The sequence below is a fragment of the Homo sapiens genome, chromosome 8, assembly GCF_000001405.40.
Source record: "Homo sapiens chromosome 8, GRCh38.p14 Primary Assembly".
Taxonomy (NCBI): Eukaryota; Metazoa; Chordata; class Mammalia; order Primates; family Hominidae; genus Homo; species Homo sapiens.
This window is the reverse complement of record NC_000008.11, coordinates 102,511,995-102,532,584: the sequence shown is the minus strand read 5'-3', so window position 1 is coordinate 102,532,584 and position 20,590 is coordinate 102,511,995. Positions and strand designations below refer to the sequence as shown.

At 43.4% G+C, this 20,590-nt stretch overlaps 2 long non-coding RNA genes across 2 annotated transcripts in view, besides 5 other annotated features; both read right to left on the bottom strand.

The window, feature by feature from the left end:
• Window positions 774-1,274: an enhancer, noted in NCBI's record as "H3K27ac hESC enhancer chr8:103543539-103544039 (GRCh37/hg19 assembly coordinates)". NCBI's record gives its function as "activates a minimal SCP1, AML or CMV promoter by ChIP-STARR-seq in primed H9 embryonic stem cells {active_cell/tissue: H9 hESC(primed)}" and the evidence as "EXISTENCE:reporter gene assay evidence [ECO:0000049][PMID:30033119]".
• Window positions 1,458-1,507: an enhancer, noted in NCBI's record as "active region_27761". NCBI's record gives its function as "activates an Ori minimal core promoter by ATAC-STARR-seq in GM12878 lymphoblastoid cells {active_cell/tissue: GM12878}" and the evidence as "EXISTENCE:reporter gene assay evidence [ECO:0000049][PMID:35858748]".
• LINC03047 (long intergenic non-protein coding RNA 3047) lies at window positions 2,734-3,764 on the bottom strand. Its single transcript, XR_001745731.2, has 2 exons — window positions 3,730-3,764; window positions 2,734-3,274 (listed from the first exon to the last, which is right to left on the bottom strand). It is a non-coding gene; the product is annotated as a long intergenic non-protein coding RNA 3047 (long non-coding RNA).
• Window positions 3,418-3,467: an enhancer, noted in NCBI's record as "active region_27760". NCBI's record gives its function as "activates an Ori minimal core promoter by ATAC-STARR-seq in GM12878 lymphoblastoid cells {active_cell/tissue: GM12878}" and the evidence as "EXISTENCE:reporter gene assay evidence [ECO:0000049][PMID:35858748]".
• Window positions 3,538-3,587: an enhancer, noted in NCBI's record as "active region_27759". NCBI's record gives its function as "activates an Ori minimal core promoter by ATAC-STARR-seq in GM12878 lymphoblastoid cells {active_cell/tissue: GM12878}" and the evidence as "EXISTENCE:reporter gene assay evidence [ECO:0000049][PMID:35858748]".
• Window positions 3,768-3,987: an enhancer, noted in NCBI's record as "active region_27758". NCBI's record gives its function as "activates an Ori minimal core promoter by ATAC-STARR-seq in GM12878 lymphoblastoid cells {active_cell/tissue: GM12878}" and the evidence as "EXISTENCE:reporter gene assay evidence [ECO:0000049][PMID:35858748]".
• The window catches only part of LOC105375683 (uncharacterized), a 110,442-nt gene continuing 99,656 nt past the window's right edge, over window positions 9,805-20,590 (bottom strand). The window contains exon 5 of the long non-coding RNA NR_168428.1: window positions 9,805-10,006. This is a non-coding gene — a long non-coding RNA (uncharacterized LOC105375683). The remainder of the gene's footprint in view (window positions 10,007-20,590) is intronic.

Here is a 20,590-nt window from a genome sequence, read left to right as displayed (position 1 = left end):
TGTCTCAAAAAAAATTGTTTTTTTCATTGAGAGAGGATAAAATTTTGATTGAGGTTCAAAATTGGTGTTCCCTATCATCAAAATCTATTGCAGACGTTCATCTGTTAATACTAATGTGTAATGAAATTTTATGTATTTCAACTGTAAAAATGTCTTTTTAGACAGGTACTACCAAATACTGATAGCAATTTATGAGCATATAATTTTAGTTGAGCATATTTATTGCTGGGAAGGTATTTACAGAATCTCCTCTGGTTGTTCTTCTGTGTCCTTGGAATATCCTTTATAACAAACTGGTAAACTTAAGTGTTTCCCTGAGTTCTATGAGCCATTCTAATGAATGATCAAACCCAAGGAGTGGCTTATGGAAACCTCTGATTTATAGCCTTGGTCAGAAGCACAGGAGGCCTGTACTTGCAACTGGGACCTGAAGTAGGAGCCTGTCTTGCAGGACTGAGCCTTTAACTTATGAGTTCTGAAGCTAACTCCAGGTAGATGGTGTCAGAATTGACTGAAATTTAGGACAAGCTGGTGTCCACTGGAGAATGGATGTGTGGGAAGAAAAAAAAACCACACGTTTGGTATCAGAAATGAAGTACAAGAATGAGTGTGAGTATAGAAAGGAAAAGGTTTTTTTCCTATTATTCAGCTTGTAAGTAGTGAAGTTGGATTGCAACACAGAATGACTAGCCCCAAGCCTATGCTTATATATTATTTTTTATATTTGTATCATAGTCTACGAACTGATTTATTTTTATTTTTTATTTTATTTTACTTTATTTTTTTGAGATGGAGTCTCGCTTTGTCACCCAAGCTGGAGTACAGTGGTACAATCTCGGCTCACTGCAACCTCCCCATCCTGGGTTCAAGCAATTCTCCTGCCTTAGCCTCCCGAGTAGCTGGGATTACAGGTGCCCGCCCCCACACCGGCTAATTTTCTTGTATTTTTATTAGAGACGGGGTTTCACCATGTTGGCCATACTGGTCTCAAACTCCTGACCTCAAGTGATCTGCCCACCTCAGCCTCCCAAAGTGTTGGGATTACAGGTGTGAGCCACCGCGCCTGGCCTGATTTTATTTTATTTTATTTATTTATATTTTTTTGAGATGGAATCTTGCTCTGTTGCCCAGGCTGGAGTGCAGTGGCACGATCTCAGCTCACTGCAACCTCTGCCTCCCGGGTTCAAGCGATTTTCCTGCCTCAGCCTCCCAAGTAGCCGGGACTACAGGCATGCACCACCATGCCCGGCTAATCTTTGTATTTTTAGTAAAGACGGGGTTTCTCCATTTTGGCCAGGCTGGTCTTGAACTCCTGATCTCAAGTGATCCGTCTGCCTCAGCCTCCCAAAGTGTTGGGATTACAGACGTGAGCTACCGCGCCCGGCCAGCCACTGCGTCCAGCCTAATTTTATTTTTAAAACCTACTTTTCCTCCATTTAATTCATCTTGAACATCATAAAGATGATTCCTGAAAAAAATACTCTAGCTTCACTTAGATGTGTTAAGTCAGGGCATGTCTGCTACGGCTCAGGCAAGCATTCTCCTTAAAAAAGCAGAGTTTATCATATTTGCAGCACCTAGAAGATGAATTTGCTTAAAAAAAAAATAGCAGAGTTACTCTTCTCTGCTTTGAAACCGTAATGGAAGACCACAAGGTCAGGAAATACGATGATTCATGTTGACACCTGTGTTTGTAAAGATTTTTTAGGGGGAAGACTCATATTCAGTTTTTTCAGGTTTAGCATAAATGGTTACTTGATAATGAAAGTTATAGCTCTGGTTAAGAAGATAAGAATTAGAGGTTAAAAAGAAACTATAAAATAGACTCTAAGTTCCATTTATAGAGTCTTACTAAATTGGCATCATTCTAAAACATATAAGCAAAGGTTAATAGTTTAACAGTGTAAAAATTTTAAACTCCTGTGTATCAAAACAACAGGAACCACATATAAAAAATAACAAACCAACTGAAATATTTGAGGAAACAAACCAATAGTTAATATACTTATAAAACACGCCACAAACTAAGCAGAATAAGTGAACTCCCTGATGGGCAAAAGCAATTCACAAAAGAAAATTAAACATATAAAAAGGACTTGACCTCATGAGTAATAAAAGAAGTGAAAAATGAAGCAATAACAAAATATTGGAGAGGAGGTAATATCCCTGAGGCACTGCATCATCCCTGGCTGGTTTCCGTAAACCCAGCTTACACCTTTGTACCTTTTTTATTAGATGTCCCTCAATTGCCCAGGTTTAGTGTGCCACCTGTTTTCTGTCGACCCTGACTGGTGCTGGCAAGATGTACGAAATCAGAATCTAAGTTCTATTTATAAGAAAGTTCATTAGCAGCATTACCTATAATAGCAAAAACTCAAAACAGAAACAAATAACCAAAATAAGAGACTGATTAAGCAAATTATGGTACCTGCATATAGAATATAAAAATATAGATGGGTGCAGTGGTGTGTGCCTGTAATCCTAACTACTTGGGAGGCTGAGGAAGGAGGATCACTTGAACCCAGGAGTTCAAGGCTAGTCTGAACAACATGGTAAGACCCCCGCCTCAAAAACAAACAGAAGAATATAAAAATATATTAACAATCATCTTCTTAAAGAATATTACTGAAAAGATAAAGCATACACAGTATATTCCTAAATTAAAAACACGCAAAATTGTGTATATAATAATGTCCCATTTTGTTAAAAAAATTTAAAGGGAAAAACATTAAATCATATAATGTTACATTTTAATAAAGAGTATATAAATATGTGCTTACATATCATATATAAAACAGTATATGTGTTATGTTTGTTTTATAGATGTTTTATAATATGCCATGTTACATTTACATAATATACAATGTATACTATATATATAGATTTATTGATTCATTATATTATGTCACTTTTTATAAAGAATTCTCTACGTCTCTACCGGTACATGTTTATGTCATGCATCTGTTATATAAACCACATAATATACATGTTACAAATCACATACATGTATATATATGCATGAATGTACAGCGCTCTCCCACGTGTCATCCGAGGTCACTCTGGGACTGAAATAAAACGGGTTGTATCCTCCAGTCCACGTTGGCGTAAAGTACAATGAACAGTGTCCTCCTCAAGTTTATCCAGATTCCCAGGAGCTCACTGCTGCCTCTGGACTGTGGGGTTCATTCTCAGACCAACCAGACTTCTTTTTTCCCTTCTCTGCTCCAGCTCAGAGGTGGGATTCAGCCATTTCTCTGGATTCCTCCAAAACCACCTTCGCAAGGAAAATGAGCATGTGGCAGATGTTTTCTTTCTTCTTTTTTTTTTCTTTTTAGAGATCGGATCTGGCTCTGTTGCCCAGGCTCGTCTTGAACTCCTGGGCTCAAGCAATCCTCCCACCTCGGCCTCCCAAAGTGCTGGGATTACAGGCATAGCCTGTACCACGCCCAGCCTAACATTCTCTCAATGTTCAGAGCAGCACAGCGTGGATGCCTCTTATGTAGAAAGCCCCCACTGCTTGCAGGGCTCTGGCTGCCGGGGTGGGGCGGGGCCTGGGGGCGACGGTATTTGCGCCCCTCCAGGCTGGCCCTCCCTCTAGGATTTCCTCGCTTCAGTGTGTCCCCCACCTTCCCATCTCGTGCTACACCTCCTGGCATTACAGACAAGACCCCTTGATGACTGTGACAGACATCCGGTCTGGGACAGAAGATAACAAAGAGAAAGCCTTACCAGTCCATCCTCCCACAGCCACCAGGAGGAGTGAGAACGATGCCAGCACAGCTCAGCACACAGCACAGCGCACAGCACAGAGCACGTAGAACACAGCGCACAACAAAGCACACAGCGCACGGAGCACAGCACAGAGCACACACGCGCAGCACACAGCGCACGGAGCACAGCACAGAGCACACAGCACAGCGCACACAGCACAGCGCACACAGCACAGAGCATGCAACACAGCACAGAGCGCACCGCGTGCACAGCACACAGCGAGCACGGACCACACAGCGCACGGAGCACACAGCGCACGGAGTGCACAGCACAGCGCAGGCTTCTGGAGCAGATTCTGGAGGAAGTCCTGGTTCCGCCACTTACCAGCTGTGCGGTTTGGGGCACAGTTCTTCCCCTGCCTTAGTTTATTTATCTACAGAATGGGGTGGGACTAATATTTAGTAGGGTTGCTGAGAATTAAATGAGTTAAATATAGAAGAATATCTTTGAACTTGGCAGGCAGTAGACAAAAGTTTCTTAGAGTTAATATGTATGAAGTGCTTAGTGTTTGGCACATAGTAAATAATATTCGATGTTATGTTTTTCTCCACAAATACGAATTATGTCCTCAGCCACCGTAACTGCCCAAGGGGTTCACCTTGCCTGCTGCCTAGACTGAGCCGATTCATCAAGACAGGGGAATTGCAATAGAGAAAGAGTAATTTACGCAGAGCCGGCTGTGCAGGAGACCGGAGTTTTTTTTATTACTCAAATCAGTCTCGCCAAGCATTCGGGGAGTCGAGTTTTTAAGGATAACTTGGTGAGTGGGGGGAAGCCAGTGAGCCAGGAGTGCTGATTGGTCAGGGATGAAATCATAGGAAGTCGAAACTGTTGTCTTGTGCTGAATCAGTTCCGGGGGGTCCAGGGGCACAAGATCCGATGAACCAGTTTATTGATCTGGGTGGTGCCAGCTGATCTATCAAGTGCAGGGTCTGCAAAATATCTCCAGCACTGATCTTAGGACCAGTTTAAGGAGGGTCAGAATCTTGTAGACTTCCAGCTGCATGACTCCTAAACCATAATTTTTAATCTTGTGGGTAATGTTAGTCCTACAAAGGCAATCTACTCCCCAGGCAAGAAGGCGGTCTGCTTTGGGAAAGGGCTGTTACCGTCTTTGTTTAAATTAGAAAAACTAAGTCTCTCCCAAAGTTAGTTCAGCCTATGCCCAGGAATGAACAAGGACAGCTTGGGGGTTAGAGGCAAGATGGAGTCAGTTAAGTTAGATCTCTTTCACTGTCTCAGTCATGATTTTACAAAGGCGGTTTCACCATCCCTCCCATAAACATGCAGGAGCAGCTAAAGGCAATTTGGTTTTGAATTACATGTTTATCCTTATATCTAAACTAGCAGAAGAATATATTTCAAAATGTAGGAGATGGGGCTGGGCGAGGTGGCTCTCACACCTGTAATCCCAGCACTTTGGGAGGCTGAGGGGGGTGGATCACTTGAGTCCAGGAGTTCAACACCAGCCTGGGCAACATGGTGAAACCCCGTCTCTACAAAAAATACAAAAAAAGTTAGCCGCGCATGGTGGTGTGCACCTGTAGTCCCAGCTACTCAGGAGGCTGAGATGGGAGGATCGTTTGAGCCTGGGAGGTCCAGTCTGCAGTGAGCTGTGATTGCACTGTTGCACTTCAGCCTGTGTGACAGAATGAGACCCTGTCTCAAAGAAAACAAAAGTAGGAGATGGGATTATGGTGCTTACTTTTTTCCTTTTCTTTACTTTGTGCCCTTTCAAATTTTCCAAAGTTTGTATATTGAGCATTTGTTATTTTTGCAACTATGGAAAATGCCAATTTTCTTTCCCCCCAAAAGACAAGAGAAGGCTCCTGGGATGATAATGGTGTAGGTTAGGAGAAACTTGTTCCCGTGAGTTGATTAAAGCTCAAACACCAGGCAAGGCTCCTTGGGAAATGGGTGGACCTTAAAAATTAATGATTCCCTGCTGTTTGTGTCTCAGAAGAAACCTGTGTTTATTTATTGCTCTTCAGACTTGCCATTTCAGCATATTGAAAAGAAACCAAACAGAGAGAAATTAAAAGTGCATGACTCGATTCCTTCCTACAAGCTAAATTGTTCTGAAAATTTCCTCTTGGATTCCCAGATTTTAAGACGCTTAGTCTGCTTCCTGCCCCTAATTGCTCTATTAATTTAATCTGCTCAAAGTCTCCCAAGAGTCTAGGTCATCCGCCTTTGGGGCTGGCTCTGTCTGGTATGGACTGGTCTTCTCCATAGACAGTTTTGCTGAGTTGTTTTACATGTTACCCAACCTTCTACTTTGCTAGTTTTCTCCTTCCAAGAGGGTTTCTCCTGACCTAATTAAATGAGTTCTGGTATTTGTGTGAATTTGCCCATTGAAATGATGTGAACCTATTTTCCTTTTTTCAGTAGGGACCTAGAGCTACACATTTGTCCTAATTTTCCTGTTTTGGGTTCCTGATCATTTATCTTATGAGCACTCTGTAGCTTTATGTGTATCTAGCATAAATTGACTCTTTGCATAAAAACAGACTCAGCAAATTTGTTTGTCTTTCTGAGCCTTCATTTCCTCATCTGTAAAGTGGGGACAAAAACATGTGTATTCAGGCCAGATGCAGTGGCTCACATCTGTAATCCCAACACCTGGGGAGGCCAAGGGGGGGGGGCCGATCACTTGAGTTCAGGAGTTCGAGACCAACCTGACCGACATGGCGAAACCCTATCTCTACTAAAAATACAAAAATTAGCCAGGTATGGTAGCGCACGCCTGTAGTCCCAGGCTGCAGCAGGAGAATCACTTGAACCCAGGAGGTGAGCTGAGATTGCACCAGTGCACTCGAGTCTGGGCGATAGAGTGAGACTCCATCTAAAAAAATATATATATATGTGTATGTATTTGTTTCCTGGGATGCTGTAACAAATGACCTCAAACTGGGTGGCTTAAAACAATAGAAATGTATTCTTTTATAGTTTTAGAGGCCAGAAGCACAGAATTGAGATGTCAGCAAGGCCAAGCTGACATCTTGGCCTTTGATTCTCCCTCCAAAGAGAATCCTGGAAGGGGAGGATCCTTCCAGCTCTGGCCTTCTCTGACTTGTGGCAACAAAGATTTCACCTTCTGCTTCTATCCTCACATGGCCTTCTTTCCTGTGTCTCTCCTGTTTCAAATCTTTTTTTCCTCTGTCTTGTAAGGACACCAGTCATTAGATTTACTGTAAATCCACGATAATTTCATCCCCAAATCAATAACTCTGTTCTATCTGCAAAGACCCTATTTTCAAATAAGGTCACATTCACAGGTATCTAGAGTCACAATTTGGACATATATTTTGGGGAAACACTATTCTATCACTACAACATATCAATCTTGTTGAGTTGCTCTGTGAGTATTAACATGAAACACGAGGCTGGGCATGGTGGCCAATACCTGTAATCCCAGTGCTTTGGGAGGCCAAGGTAGAAGGACCGCTTGAGGGCAGGAGTTTGAGACCAGCCTGGGTAACATAGTGAGACCCCAGCTCTACAAAAGTTTTTTTTTTAATTAGCTGTGCATGGTAGTGCATGCCCATAGTCCCAGCTACTTGGGAGGCTGTCAGGAGGATCACTTGAGCCTGAGAGATCAAGGCTGCAGTGAGCTATGATTGTACCACTGCACTCCAGCCTAAGTGATAGAGTGAGACCCTGTCTCTAAAAAAAAAAAACAGACGCTGGGTGCGGTGGCTCATGCCTGTAATCCCAGCTCTTTGGGAGGCCGAGGCGGGTGGATCACGAGGTCAGGAGATCGAGACCATCCTGGCTAAAACGGTGAAACCCCGTCTCTACTAAATATACAAAAAAATTAGCCGGGTGTGGTGGTGGGCACCTGTAGTCCCAGCTACTCAGGAGACTGAGGCAGGAGAATGGCATGAACCCGGGAGGCGGAGCTTGCATTGAGCCGAGATCGCGCCACTGCACTCCAACCTGGGCGACAGAGCGAGACTCCATCTAAAAGAAAGAAAGAAAGCAGGCCGATGTGGTGGATCACGCCTGTCATCCCAATACTTTGGGAGGCCAAGGCAGGCGGATCACCTGAGGTCAGGAGTTTGAGACCAGCCTGGCCAACATGGTGAAACCCGGTCTCTAAAGTACAAAAATTAGCTGGGCGTGGTGGTGTGCGAATGTAATCCCAGCTACTCAGGAGGCCGAGGCAGGAGAATAGCTTGAACCTGGGAGGCAGAGGTTGCAGTGAGCCAAGACTGCACCACTGCACTCCAGCCTTGGCAACAGAGTGAGACTACTTCTCAAAAAGAAAAAAAGAAAAAGAAAGGAAGAAAATGATATGGTAATGTGTGTAATGTAGCTAGCATAGAGCTTGACACACAGTGTGTGCTCAACCAATAATAATCACCATAATTGCTATCATCACAAGAATACTTACATTGGGCCAAGCCTTATACCAAGCCTATCTGAGCCAGAACTGGGGCTCCAACACAGGTTGCTGTGGCTTGGAGCCCATGCACTGCTCTGCTGCACTCAATTGCCTTAGTCTCATCTCTCTACTTCTCTGCTGTGACCCAGCACCTCCCCCTCTACCCCTTCCACACTTTGCACATTGACCCAGAGTTATGTGTGGTGGTGTTTATTGGGAAGAATTAGTAATGGAGGATGGGAAGAGAGAGAGAAGCTTCTCTGAGTCCTTGTGAGGGCAGCTGACTTGCCCCAGAGTGGGTGATCTAAGGAGGAAGTCACAGTGTCTTTGTTGCCCTCATCTGGAAAGTCACATGTCACTTCTGTGGCCCTTTATTGACTGGAATTGAGTCAGTAAGCATAGCCCATACTAAAGGGGAGGAGACATAGGTGTCACCCTTTGAAAGAAGTATCAAAGAATCTGTAGACATATTTAAGAACTACCACGCTACCCATGGGGGAGAGATGGCCTTTGTCTAGGAACAGAATCAGGCTCTTTAGCCAAGCCACTATGAGTGGTGCAGAGGCAGGCTGGAGCTGGGTTTAGGAGCAGGGGCTGAGCAGTGCTAAATTGTCCCAAGGTGTTGCAATCCAATGGGAAGAACTTGAATTTGAGGTCAAAAGAAGAGAAGAAGATAAAAAGGGGAGTGAGGAGAGAGGATGTAACTGCATGATTGGTTCATTTTGCCTGCTGCCCAGATAGCCAATGGATCAAGACAGGGGAATTGCAATAGAGAAAGAGTTTAATGCACATAAAGCTGGCTAAACAGGAGACTGGAATTTTTGGTTACTCAAATCAGCCTCCCCAAAAATTGGAGGCTAGAGTTTTCTAAAGATAGTTTGGCAGGAGGGGCTAGGGAATGGCTGCTGCTGACTGGTTGGGGATACAGTCATAGGGGTGTGGAAATGGTCTTTGTGCGCTGAGTCCACTTCTAGGTGGGGGCCACAGGACCTGTTGAGGGTTGAGTCTCTGGTCCCAGTGGAGTCACCCGGTCATCAGAAATGCAAAAGTCTGAAAAGACATCTCAAAAGGCCAAGCTTAAGTTCTACAATAGTAATGTTATTTACAGAAGTAATTGGGGAAGTCACAAATGTTATGACCTCCAGAACAATGGCTGGTAATTAACTATGCCTACATTTTAGCAGAATTCAGACCCCTCTCATCCTCCAAACCTAGTAGTCTTTCATTACTTTTACAAAGGCAGTTTAGTTTTAGGAAGGACTATTATTTAAGCTATAAATTAAAATTCTCCCAAAGTTAGCTTGGGCTACACCCAGGAATGATCAAGTGCAGTTTGAAGGTTAGCGGCAAGAGGGAGTTTGTTAGATCAGATCTCTTTCATTATCATAATTTTCTCACTGTTCTAATTTTTGCAAATGCAATTTCAAGGAGGGAGAGTAGGAGCAAACCCTTCTGGCCACAAGTGGGGTGGCAGAAAGATTTGTAAGAGCAGAGCTTGCTAAAATGTTTGATGTTGTGTTGCTGGAATATAAGACTCCTCCATTTTACCAAACCATTAATCAAGCTTGCTACACATGCTCTCTCTCTCTCTACACACACACACACACACACACACACACACACACACACACACACACACACACAGATTCCTTTGTGAGAGGCTTTTAATGGTCACTCTAAGGGGCTAAGATTTCTTTCCGGGTTCACAGAGTGCTGAGCAGCGACCACACTTGAGGGCAGCAAGCGATCCATCCATGAACTTACATATGCCACAGAAGAAGATGCTTTGGCCGTAGGCCTCTGGAAATTCTCAGCAATCTAGGAAAAGGCAATGGTGTTTCCCTGAGCCTGGAAAAGAAGGCAGTCTTAAGAAACAGTGGCCTAGCAGCAGTCCCAACCCACCTGAGAGTGCTCACCTGGGAAGGGCAGGACCTGTCCTTGTTTCCAGAAACAGCCTTCAGGCAAGAGGAAATCGTGATTAGCTACTCTACAGCAGTACAGGGGGTGGGTATTAGCTCTTTGGGATTAATTTTGTTATTAACTGTCCTCAGAGGACTCCGTGTTTTCTGACAGAACGCTAAGATGTTGTTTTGCAGGTTTTCTTCTTTATTTTAAGTCATTTGCTTTTATCTTCCACAATAAATGGTGATTTGGGAGTGAGGGTATTTGTGGGCTTCAGGCTTAATTAAGTCTGAAAAGTAGATTTAATGTCACTCAACTTCAAGCCTGCTTGATAGTGCCTCTCATTCTATTCCATGAAGTTACTGAATTTGTATGTAAGTTCTCTTTTGAGAAACATAAGGCCCTGTTGAGCAATCTCTTAAAAGAAAGAACATCCCTGACATTTTAATATTTAACAACAACAACAACAACAAAACCCTCTTTTGGCAAGGTAAGGTACCAAAAGAAAGAAGGTTAAGTCTGGGAAAGAGTATTTTATTTTATTTTATTTTATTTATTTTGAGACGGAGTCTTGCTGTCTCCCAGGCTGGAGTGCAATGGTGCAATCTCAGCTCACTGCAACTTCTGCCTCCCGGGTTCAAGCGATTCTCCTGCCTCAGCCTCCCAAGTAGCTGGGATTACAGGCACCCACCACCACGTCCAGCTAATTTTGTATTTTAGTAGAGATGGGGTTTCACCATGTTGGCCAGGCTGGTCTCGAACTCCTGACCTCGGGTGATCTGCCTGCCTCGGCCTCCCAAAGTGCTGGGATTACAGGCATGAGCCACCACGCCTGGCCAGAAAGAGTATTTTAAAGCTTAAATGTTGAATGTTTCTTCAAGACTGTTTAGAGGCCAGGTCATTGTGTATTTAAAAGTCTTTTCTGGATTTTAGTAAGTCATTGTGCTCTTCAAGGGTGGGGCTGGGTCTTGGTTCTCTCTGTAACTCCCAGTGCCTGACATGGTCTGTGCTCAATAAACATTTGTTGACTTGGGCGTTCATAGGAGACCATCAACACTGAGAGATAAGTTAGGATCTTGTTCTAGAATATTTTCAAAGGTCAAAATATTTTGGAAGTCAAAATGAAGTTCCTGATCAAAAGGGCCTAAATTTCCTTGTTCCCTACTAATTTTGATCAGGATTTGAAAGAGGGTAGTTCCCAGGGCAGGGTTTGGGGGAATGTGGGGGAAGATGGCAGGTGGCTGGTGCATTTGTCTGTGCTGTATACACACATTAAGGCTGGTGTTTTTAGTCTACGGCCATGCCACCCTGAATGCGCCCAATATCATCTGATCTCAGAAGGCTAGTGTTTTTAGGCAGCCTGTTGACTATTTTCAAAAGCTTTCACTACCAAAGGCCATTCAAAATAACTAAACAGCAAGTCGATTTTGGAAGGGATCTAGGCTGGGTGAGGTGGCTCACACCTGTAATCCCAGCACTTTGGGAGGCCAAAGCAGGAGGATTGCTTGAGGTCAGGAGTTTAAGCCTGGGCAACATAGAGAGACTCTACTCTGACTCTATTTAAAAAAAAAAAAAAAAAAGCCCATTGTAGTGGCACACCACAGCTACTCAGGAGGCTCAGGTGGGAGGACTGCCTGAGTCTGAGAGTTCTAGGCTGAAGTGAGCCATGACTACACCACTACACTCCAGCCTGGGCAACAGAGTAAGACTCTGTCTCTAAAAAAATTTTTTATTTAAAAAATAAAAACAAAAGTGGGAGGCCATATGAATCTTTCCCTTTGATGTTGAATTAAATACCTTTTTTTTTTTTTTTCTAAGACAGTGTCTTGCTTTTTCACCCAGGCTGGAGTGCAGTGGTGCAATCATGGCTTACTGCAGCCTCAACCTCCTGGGCTCAAGTGATCCTCCCACCTCACCCTGCCGTGTAGCTGGGACTACAGGTGTGCCACTACACCTGGCTATTTTTTTTTTTTTTTTTTTGAGATGGAGTCTTGCTCTGTCACCCAGGCCGGAGCGCAGTAGCGCAATCTCTGCTCACTGCAAGCTCCGCCTCCCGGGTTCACGCCATTCTCCTGCCTCAGCCTCCTGAGTAGCTGGGACTACAGGCGCCTGCCACCACGCCTGGCTAATTTTTTGTTGTTTTAGTAGAGACGGGGTTTCACCATGTTAGCCAGGATGGTCTTGATCTTCTGACCTTGTGATCCGCCTGCCTCAGCCTCCCAAAGTGCTGGGATTACAGGCGTGAGCCACCACACCTGGCCTATGTTTTTTTTTAACAGATGGGATCTCACTATATTGCCCAGATAGTCTCAAACTCCTGGGCTCAAGCAATACTCCTGCCTTGGCTTCCCAGAATGTTGGGATTACAAGTGTGAGCCCCCTCGCCGAGCTGGATACCTTCTTGCATTGCTTTCCCATCCTTTCATCTGTATATTTTTGAGTCTCCTAATAGTTGTTGAATTCCATGAGCATAAGGGCTACATCTGTCCCCTCTCAACTCCCCACAGCACTCTATTTTGGCCCCCAACCTCCAGCAACATTTGCTACTAGCCTGTCTCCAAGCTCACAGATCCTGCCTCCAGGTTGGATACACACACCCAGTTTCTTAAATAATAGAAGAGTTACCTGGAGCCTTCTTGCCCCTTAAGATCCAGAGAAGATTTTCTGGAGTACACCATTCTACAGACTAGAAAGCCCAGTGCCTCCTCTAAGACTTCTGCAAGTTCCCAGGAGACCTGAGGTCTGGGTTGCCTCTTGTTCTGACCTTCTGCTTCTGTGAATTAGTTCAGCATAGGGCTCATCTTGCTATTTTGTATAACTCAAATGCAAGCCTCAGCCATTTCCTTATTTTCCATAAATTCACACTGACATGTCTTTGCGTGTGCAGCAGACTCTATTTTTACTAAAAATTCAGGAAGATGGAGAGCTTTACACTAAAGAAAATCAGGCAACTTTTTAGCGACAGTCTTGCTATGTTGCCCAGGCTGATCTCAAACTCCTGGTCTCAAGTGATCCTCCCACCTCGGCCGCTCCAGTAGCTGGCACTACAAGCGTGAGCTACCACGTCCAGCAAAAGTCAGGCAACTTAAAAGTGAACATTAGTCATACTTTATAATCTCCTTGGTCGTGTTCTTAAAAACATCCCTCAGCCATTTCTACCACCTTCTATGAGGTTACAGAATCATCCCTCTATTTTTTCCTTTTCTCTTCTTGCCTCTTTTCTGTTCTCCCAGGAGAAAAGAAAACAACACAAAACATCAGTACCACCGCCAACACACACATACACACACACACACACTCACACACACTCCTCCCATTTTCCAGGCTTCCCTCACATATTCAAGGACTGTATTGCAGTTTGTTTGTTTGTTTTTCATGTCTGGAAAAACATCTTTGTTTTCGTTTGTTTGTTTTTTACTTTTTTGTTTGTTTGGTTTTTTGTTTTGAGATGGAGCCCCAGTCAGTCATCCAGGCTGGAGTGCCGTAGTGCAATCTCAGCTTACTGCAACCTTGCCTCCCGGGTTCAAGCAATTCTCCTGCCTCAACCTCCCGAGTAGCTGAGATTACAGGCGCCTACCCCCATGCTCAGCTAATTTTTGTATTTTTAGTAGAGACGGGGTTTCACCATGTTGGCCAGGCTGGTCTCAAACTCCTGACCTCAAGTGACCCGCCCACCTCGGTCTCCCAAAGTGCTGGGATTACAGGCGTGACCCATCAAACCGGCCTGTATTTATTTATTTATTTATTTTTATTTCAATAGTTTTTTGGGGAACAGGTGGTATTTGGTTACACGGATAAGTTCTTTACTGGTGATTTCTGAGATTCTGGTGCACCCATCACCCAAGCAGTATACACTGTACCCAATGTGTAGTCTTTTATCCCTCACCACATTCCCACCCTTTCCTCCTGTGCCTAAAGTCCATTGTGTCATTCTTATGCCTTTGCGTCCTCATAGCTTAGCTCCCTATATTGCAGTTTAAAAAGTACCACTCTTAAGGAAGGGCTGTTAAATTCTGGGACAAACCAACCCCCACCCCTGGACTTTGCTTGCATATTAGTAGGGGAATGTGATGATGGTTTAGTTTTCTAATTACTCTGATTCCCAGTTGCCCCATATGTAAAACGAGGATATAATAGTGCTTGCTTCACATAATTGATGTGATAATAAGTTAATGCGTAAAGCCCTTAGCACAGTGCTTGGCACACAACGTGGAGATAAATGTTATCTATTCTTACTTCTTCCCTCTTCCTGCCCACTGAGGTCCTGATCAGACACTTAGGCCCAGGTCACGTGCCAGCACCCCCATGGAGACGTTTGGGAGCTCTCCTGAGCAGAACTAATCACTCCTTCCTTGAATTCTTACAACACAGGGTTTGCTTCCCTTCTGGCAAAGAGTGCAAAGACAAATAGGACAAGACAAGCCCCTAATCTGGAGGGAAATATACACAAGGGGGTAGAGACAAGGGAATGATCCAAGGAGGCTAGGGATGGGGTAGAGGAAGGATTCTAGAACAGAAGCAAATTAGCCAGCTTCAAGATCTTAAATTCAAAACAACAACGTGATGATGTTGCCAATGTTGTCAGCCCAGAATATCCATATGCAGTTCTTCTGTCAATTTTTCATCAATTGCAGATTTTACCATATGCAGTTTTAGGGCTTGCCACTTTTACATTTGTTGACTATTTCAGCGTGAGCGTATCAGTCAGGGTTCATTCAGGGAAGCAGGACCACTATAAGTTATGAGATAAGGAATTTATTACAGGAAATGGACTTTGCACAATTTGGGGAGGAGCTGGAAGGTAAAGGTCTGGAAAGAGGAGATGAAGAATTAGAGAAAAGTTACTTACTAGCCCCAGCTTGCAGGGAAGCCTGGAAGCCATGCTTCAAACTTCAGTCTACAAAAGGCTGTTGGCTCTTCATGACTGCAGCCTCTGAGTTCACAGCACAGCATGTGCTGGTAGTCCTGGGGTTGCTGTTGTTGGCAGAGTTAGCAGGGAGAAAGGACAGGTGGACCCAGAGTGGGAAGAACCAGGGCAAATGAAACTGCTGGTGTGTCTGTGTCTGTGTCTCATCACCTCTCACCAACATCAGTCTTTAGATCACAATGGTGCCTGCTTCATCTCTGCTTCCTAAATCTCACACAACTTCACTTTTTGCCAACTTGACCCAGAATCATACAGAGAAAGAAATTCTAGGGAACATAGTTCCCAATAGAATAATCCAGCATAACATTCATTATAAAACTCATTGTGTTCATTGCAAATTGGATAAATGACTGATCATTAATATCTATTTCTTGGAACAAGGAATAAAGAATATTAAGAGGGAAAATTTATAGGATCTGGATAGATGGTAGGGTCAAAATTTCAGAATAGAGAATCCATAATCAGAGTCACATTTATGAAGATACGTAATATATGTTAGAAATGGTTCTGCTGAACAATGGAGAAAGTTATTTCAAATAAATAGTGGCTGACATAACTGGATGTACAAATGGAACATACATTAATCTTTACCTCACAACATATATAAACATGAACCTTACCTCACAACATATATAAACATGAACATCATGCATATTATTGACCCAAATGTGAAAAATAAAACAATAAATCTTTTAAAAGATAAAATGTGACATGATTTCCATGACTTTAAGGTTTGATAAGGTTTGCTAAACAGAATACAGAAACCACTAAGCCTTTTTGGAGAAGATGTAGGATAATTGTAAAATATGCTTGTTGCGTAGAATATAAATTAATTCAACTACTTTGGAACAGTGTGACAGTATTTACTAAAGTTGAATATATTCCAGCTATTTCACTTCTAGATATGTACCCAATATAAATGTGTACATAGGTACACCAAACACTTGAAGTAAAATGTTCATGGCAGCTTTATTATTATTATTATTTTGAAATGGAGTCTTGCTCTGTCACGCAGGCTGGAGTGCAGTGGTGCAATCTTGGCTCACTGCAACCTCTGCCTCCTGGGTTCAAGCAATTCTCCTGCCTCAGCCTCCTGAGTAGCTGGGATCACAGGTGTGCGCCACCACGCCTGGTTAATTTTGTATTTTTAGTAGAGATGGGGTTTTGCCACATTGGCCAGGCTGGTCTTGAACTCCTGACCTCAGGTGATCCACCCTCCTTGGCTCCGAAAGTGCTGGGATTACAGGCGTAAGCCACCACGCCCGGCCCACGGCAGCTTTATTAAAGTCAAAGCCAGGAAGCAAGCTAAAAGTCCATCAACAGTAGAATAGATAAATAAATTTGGTACTTTCATACTACAGAATGCTATACAGCAATGAAAATGAATAAATTACTGCTACATGCAACAACATGGACGAATTTCACAAGCATAATGTTGAGCCAAAGAAGTCAGATATAGATGAATACGTGCTATATAACTATATAAAGTTCAAAATGGGCAAAACTAATCTATGCTGTTAGAAGAAGGACAGTGGTTTCTTTTAGGTGGTGGCAGTTAATGGCTAAGAGGGGTCATTCAGGAGGTTCCAGCTATGCTAGGGATATTCTGGTTTTTTAAATCAGGAAGGTGGTTACTTGATTGTGATAATTCTTTATGCTATACATGTATGATATATACTTTCTGTATTTATGTTTACTTCAACTGTTTTTAAAAAGTTATTTTTAGAAAAGCATTTGAAATGTTCTGTTTTACCAAGCACAGTGGCTCACACCTGTAATCCCAGCACTTTGGGAGGCTGATGTGGGCAGATCACTTGAGGTCAGGAGTTCGACACCAGCCTGGCCAACATGTTGAAACCCCGTCTCTACTAAAAACACAAAAATTAGCCAGACGTGGTGGTGGGCGCCTGTAGTCCCAGCTACTTAGGAGGCTGAGGCAGGAGTATTGCTTGAACCCATGAGGTGGAGGTTGCAATAAGCTGAGGTTATGCCACTGCACTCCAGCCTGGGCAATAGAGTAATACTCTGTCTCAAAAAAAAAAGTTCTGTTTTATCTATTTATATCTTGTAGTCTTTTTCTTTTTAAAAATTTGAAAAACATTTGTATTAATATATTTTGTAGAGATGGGGTCACACTGTGTTGCCCAGGCTGGTCTTGAACTCCTGGCCTCAAGCGATCCTCCCACTTCACCCTCCCAAAGTGCTGGGATTACAGGCATGAGCCACCATGCCTGGCCTCTAGTAGTCTTTTTCTGACTTCTCAACTCCTTTTATCCTTCCTACACAATTTCCTATCCTCTTGCTCTAAAAATATTTTCCTCCCATAATTCCTTTTGCATGTTGGACCCTAATTTCATTCCTCAGCAGGTATGTCTTGAGTGTCTACCACATGCCAAGCACATAGCCAAAGTGATTATGATAGTGAATAAATTGGCAAAGAGCTGTCCTCATAGAGCTTTAGCTTCCAGGACACAGACGCTTCTGGGCAGGCAATTGATTCCCCAAAGCTTCAGATTAAGGGCAGCTTCTCAAAATCTACTGTTTGTACCCATTAATGACTCTGTCACTCCTTGCATTGTCCCTGTGTAAAGCCTCAGCATAATCTTTGACAATTTCCTCCATCCCACATTCAAAGATTTACCTCAACCTGCCCATTTCTACCTCCAAAATGTGCTCGTCCATTCCTCCTTTTTTCCAGCCCTGATGCTTTTCATCCAAGTTGAAGTCCTTACTAATTCTATTGCAATGGTGTCAGTTCATTTGGAGAAACAGCCACTCAAGCTAGTTTTAGGAGAACTCGGGTTCAGGTAACTAACACATTGCTGAAAAATCTGGGAAAGATATTTGAAGCAGAGCTTCCAGGAACAATACCTAACTCTTGGAATCCTATTACCTCTGTGTAAAAAAAAACAAAAAACAAAAAAACTGGAAAGCCACCATTGCCATGCGGAAGTCCTCGAATGAAGAAGCAAATGACCCCAGCACCAAGCAGCCTCTGTATCACCCATGCAGGCTACATGAATCCTTGTCCAGAACTCTAGCTACAAAGAAGTGTGTGAATTGCAGTCTTCAGGTTTCTGACATTACCAGCATAGGCTGGAATGGATGCTGAGCAGGGCTGGCCTCCACGTCTCCCTCCCCTCCCAGCCCTGCCTCCCAGCTTCCCTGCTCTCCCCTACAATTCCATTCTCTTTCTTGCTGCTGACTCTAATCACATCACTCCCCAGCTCAAAAGCCTCAGGTAACTCACCATTTCCTTATCTGTCATTCAAGGCCCTCTGTGATGAGATCCCTACTTGTATTTCTGGTGTATGTCCTACTCCACTTCTACAGTTTTCTTAACTCCATCCATTCCCCCACCACTCCCCAAATGTATTCTGCCCTTTCCCACCTGATGCCCGTGTGCATCCTCTGTCCTTCTCACCATCATTTCCCATTAAAATTGAAAATGGCCTTCTAGGCCCATTTCAAATATCCCTTCCTTTCTCCTTTGATCCCCTTAACCAAAGTGGCCTGTCATCCCAGCTAACTTCTAATACATTGTGGAAGAATAAGGCAGTTATTCAGACTGCATCTGTGGACAGATGTGGGCTGGAATCCTAGCTAAGCCTGGGCAAGTGAGATCTTCCTGGACTCAAAGGCTTAGTGTCCTGCTCTGTAAAATGGGGCTAATAATGGTACCTATTTCATAGGCAGGTTGGAAGGACTGGTTGAGATCAGCTGCCAGTGCCCACCTCTCCAGATGGTAACGAATCCATAAGTATTGTCTTGTTCACCTTTGCACCCCTCACCTAGGTGCTCAATAAATACTCAAGTAATAAATGGACAAGCCAAACCAAGCAGCAACGTCGACCTTAGGGAATCTAAGATCAAACCAATGTAATGCTAGGCCCCCTGCTCAGGGGTTAGCTTAGGACACAGGTATGAGCAGGTGAAGAGTTTCCACTTGGTTTATCAAGTCAGGAGAAAATAGAAACTAAGAGGTTTAACAGTTGGGCTGTGGCACAACCCCACGGTGCAGACCACAGCGAGTGAGCATGTTTCATGGATCAAACCCAGTTTAGATTCCCCACAGAAGCCTCTCTATGTTCAGAGAAGTAGGCTCCTGAACACAGAAAGGTGGAAGGAGGCAGGAGGTCTCGGACTAGGTACTTTCCCATCTTAGCCTGAGTGGACAGAATTCCATGTGATGCTGGAGGAGTGAAAATTGCTACAGTCTACCTTGGAGACCCATTTGGCAGAAGGTGCATATACCCTGTGGCCCAGCACTTCTAGGTCTCTACTCTAGACAAGGAGATGTGTCTAGATGTGTCTCCTTGTGTCTCACAAGGAGATGTGTCCAAAGTAATGCATTGTTGCATTATTTACAAAATCAAGAAATTAAAGCAACCTGAGTATCTATTAATGGTGAATAAATAAAATTTGACGCATTTAAGTGTTAAAATACAAATTGGCAAATGCAAAGGCATGAGCAAGATTTTTGTGTATCAATATGGACAGATTTCAAAAGTATAATATTGAATGAAGAAACATGCAATCAATATGATACCACTTAAAGATATAAAAGCAGCCCGTAATTACAGTGGCTTACGCCTGTAATTCCAGCACTTTGGGAGGCCAAGGTGGGTGGATCACTTGAGGTCAGGAGCTCAAGACCAGCCTGGCCAACATGGTGAAACCCTGTCTCTACTAAAAATACAAAAATTAATGGTGGTACATGCCTGTAGTCCCAGCTACTTGGGAGGCTGAGGCAGGAGAATCGCTTGAACCAAGAAAACAGAAGCTACATTGAGCCGATATCATGCCCCTGCACTCCAGCCTGGGGGATAGAACAAGACTCCATCTCAAAAATAAATAAATACATAAGATATAAAAGCAATACTGTAATATTATTCAGGACTACATGTCTGCACAAGTTTCGAACACTGGGCTGAAGGGGTACACGCTAAATTCATTGCAGTTACTTTTGGGAAGGGGAATTTGGGAACCAAGAGGGCTTCAGTTTTATCTGTAATGTTTTCTCTCTTTCAAACACGAACAAGTTTAGAGTTTTGAAGGACAAATATTAACAATTGAATTCAGGATGATGGTTGGGGTACAAGGATACTTTTCTATCTGAAAAAGTATTTTTTTCTCAGAAAACAAAAATATGGCTTCTGTAGTCTGGTTTGGGATACGTATGTTGCGTTGTATTGTGTTGGGCAGGGAGGGACTGGTGAAAAACTTTGACTATGATCCTTTAGAAATATTCTCTTGCTGACAACAGAAATTAATCATTGCCATGGCATTGAAATTCGAACAGTTGGCTGAGGCCTTTAAACACCTACAGCCCTTTTTGACCCTTTGATGGAAGCCATGTCCTCTTGATTCTAGGGGGGAGAATGCACATACAGTTTGGCATATAATTTCAGGGGTGTTGTAGCCCTTAGGTGAAGAGTCTGCACTACTACAGAATATCATGTGGTTGGCTTGTTCTGACCTTTAGAACAGTTAAGTAGAAATGCGTAGCAGAGAGACCAAGAAGACTTGTTAAAATATAAATACAACCTTCTCTTGGAAGAAAGAAGGTTTGGACTCTCAATCTGTGTGTGTGTGTGCATGTG